Source organism: Homo sapiens, chromosome 9, assembly GCF_000001405.40.
Source record: "Homo sapiens chromosome 9, GRCh38.p14 Primary Assembly".
In the NCBI taxonomy this organism is placed as follows: domain Eukaryota; kingdom Metazoa; phylum Chordata; class Mammalia; order Primates; family Hominidae; genus Homo; species Homo sapiens.
In genome coordinates, this window is record NC_000009.12 from 35,039,924 (window position 1) to 35,049,270 (window position 9,347).

The window sequence follows — 9,347 nt, forward strand, 5'->3', positions numbered from 1 at the left end:
GTTCCAACTTCTTAGCCTGGTGTTCAGGGACTTTGTGATCTTGTCTTTCTAGGTTCATCTCCTACCACTTCCCCAACCTCCATCCAAAACTACAGCCACACTGAAATACCTTCAATTTCCATAATGGGGCATAGTTTCTCTGCCCTAGCACATTTACACAGGCTGTTCCTACTGCCTGGATTGTCCTTCTCTCACTCCCTACACTACATCCTCACTTTCTTGGTTCCTCAAATAAAGCATTAATCATCTCCTCTGGGAAGCACCCCTCACCATCAACCTCCTTCTTCAGACTGGTGGGAATCTGTTCTCTGGCCCCATAAAACTCTGTGCGCATCTCTATTTTCATTACCTGTTACTTCACTGATCCCCCAATGAAATGGGACCTAGTTTAGTGCAAAGACTCTATCTTACTTCTGCAGTTTAAAGACTGAGCACAATACCTGGTCCATAACAGGCATTCAACAAATGTTACATGAATCAATCAATCAATCTAGTCCAACTCATGGTACCAATGGAGAAACCTCTCTTTGGTTTCTCAAGATCATGTGGTGGATCAGTGATGGAGCTAGAGAACCCAAGTCTCCTCACTTTCAGCTCAGCACACTTTCCACCAGAACAAATCAGCTTTTAATGAGGACAGGGATTGAAGCGTGGCCCTGAAAGGAAGGGCCGACATGGAACAAAGTGGTGGTTTTAGGGGGAAATGGAGGAAATGAGAATGGCAAAGCACATTTATTTGTCATCCTTAACATGAATGCTTCACAGTTCACAGCTGACACGAGCATAAAAAAGAGGGGATAGACCCCAACCATTAAAGACAGAATGAAGCTTATAATTAGAAACCTTAAATAGAAATTTAATACAGCATACATTATATTATTCTAAGCATATATATTTATTCATTTAATCCTTGTTAGAAATGCTTGTTCCCCAGTGCCGTGAAGAAATAGCACTTGAACATAAATTTAATTTCCTCAGCAAGGCTATTTTTACTTTCTGCAGAAACGGTACACTCACCAGCAGTTTTGCCATGAAGAGTACACCGAACAAAGGAGGCAGGGTCATTTATAGCCTGACGCATCCACCCTACTGCTGTGTCCGGTTTCCATTGGCTGGAACAGGACCTCGCTTTCTGTATTTGTCCTGATTGGCTAACAACTTAGAACTTTTTAAAAAGAGGCAAAGGCAGAGAACAAAGGAAGGAGGAAGTTAACTTGTGGAATGCTGAGAAAGGTAAAAACACCTTCAAATAAGGAAGAGGAACAGGCTATGACCTAATGCTTGCTTGGACCAATATAAGCATGCCAGGGCAAATATTTAGGCTAAATTGTGGAAGCTAAGAACATAAAGTAAATTGATTTATTACGGCTAGCAGATATTTAAGAATGTTAACAGAGGTCTTTGAATAAATTTTGCTTCTAAGAGATGTTACTATTTATTCCTAATAAGATGGAGAGGAAAGTCTTTGAAGAGGAACCTCTACTTTACTTTTTACATCCTCAAAACAACCCTGTGTAGTAAGTAATAATATTATTGTGCTGGGTAGAGTGGCCCATGCCTGTAATCCCAGCTACTCAGAGGCTGAGATGGAAGGCTCTCTTGAGCTCAGGAGGTCAAGACCAGCCGGGGCAATACAATGAGACCTTGCCTCTAAGAATAATATGCCAGGCAAGATGGTTCACGCCTATAATCCCACCACTTTGGGAGGCCAAGGCGGGAGGATCCCTAGAGCTCAGGAGTCGAGACCAGCCTGGGCAATATAGAGAGATCCTGTCTCTACAAAAATAAAAAATATAAAAATTAGCTGGGCACGGTGGCACATGCCTGTGGTCCCAGCTACTCAGGAGGCTGAGGCAGGAGGAGCACTTCAGCCCAGGAGGTTGAGGCTGCAGTGAGTCGTGATCACACCACTGCACTCCAGCCTGGGTGACACAGTGAGATTCTGTCTCAAAATAATAACAATAAATATCTATAAAATAAAGATAATGATATCTTTATTTTATAGATAAGAAAAATGAGGCACTGAAAAAATTAAGTAGTTTGAGTTTTCACAGGTAGGAAAATGACAGAGCTATGATTTGAATAAGGCAGTTCGGTGCTAGAATCCATGTACTTAACCACAATGCCTGAAGCATAATTCTGAACTGGGCAATCAAAAGGGGATCACCCACATTTCACTGTGTGAAGCATGAATTGCCTGATAGAGGAAATTTTTTTTGGTTCTAAATTCAGGGAGAAGGCTGTTAAGCCCAGGCCTCTGTGGGGGATGGGAGTTCTTTGTTCTGTGATGCAATGATGACCTCAGGGTAAACTGCCAGAAGGCTAAGGGAAATGGAATGGCTGCTGGAGGACCTGCTTGGGGCTAAGGGGGATATGGGGCTTCTCTGGGGCCAACTGACCCATGCCCTAGCCTGCAGACACTGCGGCAGCAGCTGCTTCCAGAGTCCAGGAAATCTGGTGACACTATTCTTATTCGTGGTTTGGCAGATTCAGAGATGGTGGCAGCTTGGGAGGTTGCGACAGCTTCATCCCTGGTGCTCTGGGAATATGGTGCAAGGCAAGGTGGGTGACCTGTGACTGTACAGCTGGATGAATGACTGCTGACACCACATGTGAGGTCATTGGTATGAATGTGGGCCCAGGTGAGTGACTATAAGCCCTAGATGTGAGGCTGGGTGAGTAACCACTGACACTAGATTTGAAGCCAGGTGAGTGACCATGGATTCTAGATGTAGAATGAGGGAATACTGATCTCCAAATGAGGACTGGGTAATGACCATTAACACTAGATGAGGAGCTGTGTAGGTGACTGGCCACACACGTGGGATTAGGTGAGTAACTGTCCACTCTGGATATGGAGCAGACTGAGTGCCTCATAGCAAACCTTGTGTATCTGAAAAGGCTTCATGCCTGAGAATATCTTTATCTACTTCCCAGGAACTACCACTTCTGCACCGTGTGGCCTTCCTTGATCACCTGTGTAAGCAGAAATCAGAAGTGGAGGAAGAAGGGGAAGAAGAGGAAGAGGGGGAAGACGAGGCATCTCTGGATCCACTGAAGCCATGTTCTCCTACCAAAGAAGCTCCCACTGGAGAGCAAGCCACTCCAGCCCCACCCCAGCCATCCTGTGGTTCTGAGGGCCTCCTCAAGGCTATAGGGATACCAGAGCAAACAGTCATGCAGCCCGTGAGCCCTTCCAGATCCTTCCCCATCTTCCAGATTCTGACCAGCTTTCCTGTGAGGCACAAGATAGCATCAGGGAACCGCCAGCAGCAGAGAAAAAGCCAGCTCTTCTGGGGTCTCCCCTCTCTGCACAGCGAGTCCTTGGAGGCCATCTTCCTGAGCTCAGGTGGCCCCTCTCCTCTGAAGTGGTCTGTTTGTTCTTCTGTCTTCTTCAACAAGCTTGCCTTCCTACCTAGGTCCAACCTGTTGCTTCCCCAGTATCACTCCTCAGCCCAGTTTTCTACCCATGGGGCCCATACTATGGAAGATCTAGAAGGGATGGCCCCCGATCCTCAGCTGCTTCCACCTCCATCTTCTCCTTCTGTCTCATCACTACTCCTCCATCTGAGGCCCTTCCCTGTGGACCACAAGGGAGTTTTATCTGGCGCTGAGGCACCCACACAGTCCCCTGGAACTAGCCCCCTGGAAGTTCTCCCTGGATATGAGACTCATTTGGAAACCACAGGACACAAAAAGATGCCCCAAGCTTTTGAGCCTCCGATGCCACCCCCCTGCCAATCCCCAGCTTCTCTGTCAGAACCCAGAAAAGTTAGCCCTGAAGGAGGACTTGCTATATCTAAGGACTTCTGGGGAACCGTGGGATACAGAGAGAAACCTCAGGCCTCTGAGTCTTCAATGCCAGTCCCTTGCCCTCCCCTAGACTCCCTGCCAGAACTCCAGAGAGAGAGTTCCCTGGAAGATCCATCCAGATATAAGCCCCAGTGGGAATGCAGAGAAAACTCAGGAAACCTCTGGGCTTTTGAGTCTCCAGTCTTGGACCTCAACCCAGAGCTCTCTGGAACCAGCCCTGAATGTGTCCCACCAGCATCTGAGACACCATGGAAGGGCATGCAAAGTAGAGAAAATATTTGGGTCCCTGCAGACCCAGTTTCACCTCCCAGCCTTCCCTCAGTCCCTCTCCTGGAGTCTCTAGTAATGGGCCCCCAGGGAGTCCTGTCTGAATCCAAAGCTTTGTGGGAGACCATGGGGCAGAAAGAGAACCTCTGGGCATCTGATTCCCCAGACCCTGTTCATAGCACACCTCCAACCACCCTTATGGAACCACACAGAATCAATCCTGGGGAATGCCTCGCTACATCAGAAGCTACATGGAAGGATACTGAGCATTCCAGGAATTCCTCGGCTTCTAGGTCTCCATCTCTGGCCCTCAGCCCACCCCCAGCTCTTGCACCGGAGCTGCTCAGAGTTAGATCCATGGGGGTCCTGTCTGATTCTGAAGCTAGATGTGGGGACATACAAAAGACAAAAAACTCCTGGGCCTCTAAGCACCCAGCTTGTAACTTACCCCAAGACCTGCATGGAGCCAGCCCTCTGGGAGTCTTGTCTGATTCTCAGTCTATTGTAGGGGAAATGGAGCAAAAAGAAAACTGTGTTCCTGTGTTCCCAGGTAGGGGCTCCAGCCCATCCTCAAACTCTGTTTCAAAGTCCCACGTAAGTGAGCCTATCGCAGACCAAAGCAACTATAAGCCTGACGGGGAGGCAGTGGAGCAAAGAAAGAACCACTGGGCCACTGAGCTCCCAGCCCCCAGCTCACTCTCTACTCCTCTACCAGAGCCACACATTGACCTTGAACTTGTGTGGAGAAATGTGCAACAAAGAGAAGTTCCCCAAGGCCCCAGCCCTCTGGCAGTGGATCCCCTACACCCAGTACCCCAGCCTCCCACCCTAGCTGAAGCTGTGAAGATTGAACGCACTCATCCTGGTCTACCCAAGGGAGTAACGTGCCCAGGGGTTAAGGCAGAGGCCCCACTCTCCCAGAGATGGACTGTCCCAGAGTTGCTCACCCATCCTGGGATCCATGCCTGGCAGTGGAGTAGAGAGCTGAAACTCAGGCTGAAGAAACTGCGGCAGAGCCCTGCCTCCAGAGCCCCTGGCCCAAGTCAATCATTTTGCAGCTCCCCTATTCTGAGCTCCACAATTCCAGACTTCTGGGGACTCCCTTCCTGCCCACCACAGCAGATTTATCCCCCCAATCCATGCCCCCACTCTTCAAGTTGTCATCCTCAAGAAGTTCAGCGCACAGTACCTCAGCCTGTCCAGTCCTCCCACTGTCATCACTTCCAATCCTCTTCCCAGCTTCAGCCACAGGAGTCTGGCAGGGCGGAACAAGGGTCTCAGAGAGGGGAGAAAATGAAGGGGAAGATGGTGAGCCAGGTCCCATCCCAAGGGCCATGTGTACACATGGAGGCTGGTGTGGACTATCTATCTCCAGGCCCAGGAGAACCCTCAAACTCTAAGGTTCTGGTCTCAGGCAAGAGAAAGGACAAGGCTTCAGCCTCATCCTCAGCCAAAAAGAGAGAGCACCCTAGGAAACCCAAAGCAGGAGACCATAGAAGAGGGACTGCAAGGTTGGGGTTATCCACAGTCACAGGGAAGAACCACCCTGCCCAGGCCAGAAGCCTAGTAGAGGCCCCTGTAAGCACATTTCCCCAAAGGTCTCAACACAGGGGCCAGAGCTCTCAACACACTGCTCTTCCCCAGCTGCTTCTCCCCAAAGCTTCGGGTCCCCAGGATCAGCCAGAGGCAGGGCGAAGAGCAAGTGACATCCTGACCCCTCGCCACTGTAAGCACTGTCCTTGGGCCCACATGGAGAAGTATCTCTCCTTCCCTACCCTCAAGGCTTCCCTTACCAGGGGTTTGCAAAAGGTGTTAGCCAAATGCCTGGATAACCATCGACCCCTACCCACCAAATCTAGTCAGTAGAGAAAAGGCTGGTAATACTAGCACTTGGTATGCCAAGACCTGAAGCCAAACCAGGGGGAAGGTGGGGATGTGGAGACAAGAAATGGAAATTCTAATAAACTAGCTGAATTAGATAAATCCCATTCATGTCTTCTTTGGAATCTAGGGTACTGAAAATGTCAATTCCCAATTCTGCTACAGCCATAGCCCCTCAGTTTCAAGTCCCAGTAGAGCACTCAGGATTCTGCAGGCTTAACTCTTTTGTGGATCTTCACAGATGATCACATCTGGAGTCCACACATCCCTACTCTATAGGGTGAGGCTACAGGGCCAGGTCAGCATAGCCCAAAGCCGCCCTTGAGAGGGAACGACTTCACAGCATGTGAACAAAAAACTACATCCATTCACACGAGCACAGGTCATCTGAGTCTAGGCAACTGTGCTTTGTCCTGGGTATTGTTCTCTTCTTCATCCACTTGACCTGTAAGTTCTCCACGTATCTTTCTGACCATTTCTTCTCAGCCCTCTGCTCTTTTCTCTCCCTGGGTCAGCTCATCCATCTCCAAGGCCATGAAAACAAGTGTCTTTTAATACGTCTAGTAACCGTCTGGATTTCTATAATCACCGGGTCATATCCTCTACCCATTTTCTAATGCACTATTTGTTGGACATTGTATTAGTCAATGTATTACAGTTTTCTACTGCTGCTGTAACAAATTACCACAAAACAAATTTATTTTGTCAGAAGTCTGACACGGAGCCTGGGTGCAGTGGCTCACATCTGTAATCCCAACACTTTGGGAGGCTGAGATGGGCTGATAGCATGAGCCCAGAAGTTTGAGACCAGCCTGGGCAACATGACAAAACCCTGTCTCTACAAAAAAAAAAAAACAAAAAAACCACAAAAATTAGCTGGGCATGGTGGTGCATGCCTATAGTCCCAGCTACTGGGCAAGGTGAGGTGGGAGGATCACCTGAACCAGAGAGGTCAAGGCTACAGTGAGCCACTGCACCACTACATGCCAGCCTGGGCAAAAGAGACCCTGTCTCCTCCCCGCAAAAAAAGTCTGACACATGTCTCACAGGGCTAAAATCAAGGGGTTGGCAGGCCTACATCCTTTTCTCTAGGCTCTGGGTAGGATTCACTCCTTGCCTTTCCCAGTTTCTAGAGGCTGCCCACATTCCTTGGTTACTGACCCCCTTCTTCTATCTTTAAAGCTAGCAAAGGCAAGTCAAGTTCTTCTCACATTGTATCACTCTGACCTCTTCTGCCTCCCTCTTCCACTTTTTTTTTTTTTTTTTTTTTTGAGATGGAGTCTCGCTCTGTCTCCCAGGCTGGAGTGCAGTGGCACGAACTCGGCTCACTGCAAGCTCCGCCTCCCAGGTTTTATGCCGTTCTCCTGCCTCAGCCTCCCGAGTAGCTGGGACTACAGGTGTGCACCACCTACGCCGGGCTAATTTTTTTGTATTTTTAGTAGAGACAGGGTTTCACCATGTTAGCCAGGATGGTCTCGAACTCCTAACCTCGTGATCCGCCCGCCTTGGCCTCCCAAAGTGCTGGGATTACAGGCGTGAGCCATTTTTTTTTTTTTTTTTTTTGAGACAGAGTTTCACTCTTATCACCCACGCTGGAGTGCAATGGCACAATCTCGGCTCACTGCAACCTCTGCCTCCTGTGTTCAAGTGATTCTCCTGCCTCAGCCTCCTGAGTAGCTTGGATTACAGGCATGCGCCACCACGCCTGGCTAATTTTGTATTTTTAATAGAGATGGAGTTTCTCCATGTTGGTCAGGCTGGTCTCAAACTCCTGACCTCAAGTGATCCACCCGCCTCGGCCTCCCAAAAAGTGCTGGGATTACAGACATGAACCACTGCGCCCGACCCTACCTCTTCCACTTTTAAGGACCCTTATGATTACACTGGACAAAGCTGAATAATCCAGGACACCCTTCCAATTTAAAGTCAGTTGATAGCCAGGCGCAGCAGTGGCTCATGCCTTAACAGTCCCAGCATTTCAGGAGGCCAGGGCAGCTGGATCGTTTGCGGCCAGGAGTTCAAGACCAGTCTGGCCAATATGGCAAAACCCCATCTCTACTAAAAATACAAAAATTAGCCTGGCATGGTATGTGTGCCTGTAATCCCAGCTACTCCGGAGGTTGAGGCAGGAGAATCGCTTGAACCCAGGAGGCGGAGGTTGCCAAGATCATGTCACTGCACTCCAGCCTTGACGACAGAGCAAGACCCTGTCTCTAAATAAATAAATGAAGTCAGTTGATTAGCAACCTTAATTCCACCTGGAACCTTAATGCCCCTTTTTCCATGTGAAATAATATATACATAGGTTCCAAGGATTACGACGTGGGCATCTTGAGGGCCATGATCCTGCCTACAGAGATAGTGACCCAAACTATTATGTATGTTCCAAATATTTTCTTCCAATTTGTATCTTATTGGCTAATTTTATGGTGACTTCTATTGTATCAAAGAAAAATTTTTTTATGTAGTTAAATCTACCAACACTTTACTTCATGACTTCTAAAACATTTTCTCCTGGCACTTTGATAATTTTGCATATTTATGTTTTAGATTACCGATTTTTATGGTATGAGGTGATAATCTAACCTTCCCCAAAATCATGTCCAATTTACCAATACCATTTTTTAAAAATAGAATGTCTTGAGCCCATTCCATTAAATATGGTGTATTGTAAAAACATGAGTCATTTCTAAGCATCTCTAGGCTTCAGGTCCCCATATTCAACAGCATACCAGACATTATCTCATATTTGACTTGTCCAAAAACGTATTTTCCCTTTAACTTTTTCCTCCAACACGCCCATTCCTATCAAAATGCATGACATCCACCTAAATACTTAAGCTTTGACTCTTCCTTCCTCCCTGATCTAAGCCATCACCAAATCTTGTCAGCCAGGCTCAGTGGCTCATGCGTGTAATCCCAGCACTTTGGCAGGCCGAGGTAGGAGGATCATTTGAGGTCAGGAGATCGATACCAGCCTGGGTGGTACCCCATCTCTACTAAAAACACAAAAATTAGCCGGGTGTGGTGGTGTGCACCTGTAATCCCAGCTACTTGGGAGGCTGAGGCAGAAGAATTGTTTGAACCAGGAGGCGGAGGTTGCAGTGAGCTGAGATCATGCCACTGCACTCCAGCCTGGGCAATAGAGCAAGACTCCATCTCAAAAAAACAAAACAAAACAAAACAAAACTTGTCAATTATACCTATGAAATGTATTTCAAATCCATCTTCCCCTCTCCATTTCCACCATCACTATTGTCTTAGTCATTATTTCTCACTAAATTGGTTGCTCTATTCCTTCTAATCCATCCTGCACATGGCTACAATTCTCTGGAGATCAACTGCCCCGATCTCTTCAACAAGTGTCATAAAAGTTTGAGTAAAAG

General features: G+C 47.7%; 1 protein-coding gene across 5 annotated transcripts; it reads left to right on the plus strand.

The window, feature by feature from the left end:
- Positions 1–1,171: 1,171 nt before the first annotated feature.
- On the plus strand, positions 1,172–6,063 carry SPATA31G1 (SPATA31 subfamily G member 1). 5 transcript variants are annotated; one of them, NM_001040412.3, is made up of 3 exons: positions 1,172–1,233; positions 2,488–2,562; positions 2,938–6,063. In NM_001040412.3, the coding sequence occupies exons 1-3, from the start codon at positions 1,222–1,224 to the stop codon at positions 5,944–5,946; spliced, it is 3,096 nt and encodes a 1,031-aa protein (NP_001035502.1). In that variant the 5' UTR covers positions 1,172–1,221; the 3' UTR covers positions 5,947–6,063. The 5 variants fall into 5 exon arrangements, with proteins under 5 accessions (NP_001035502.1, NP_001035501.1, NP_001274320.1 ...); NM_001040411.3 differs by lacking the exon at positions 2,488–2,562; NM_001287391.2 differs by lacking the exon at positions 1,172–1,233 and having other exon boundaries at positions 2,317–2,642.

Excerpts from the sequence above, each read along its gene's own strand:
- SPATA31G1 (NM_203299.4), top strand. The coding sequence starts at position 2,332 with ATGGAATGGCTGCTGGAGGACCTGCTTGGGGCTAAGGGGGATATGGGG. Across the intron at positions 2,563-2,937 it reads GGAATATGGTGCAAGGCAAG|GAACTACCACTTCTGCACCG; the intron begins GTGGGTGACCTG and ends TCTACTTCCCAG.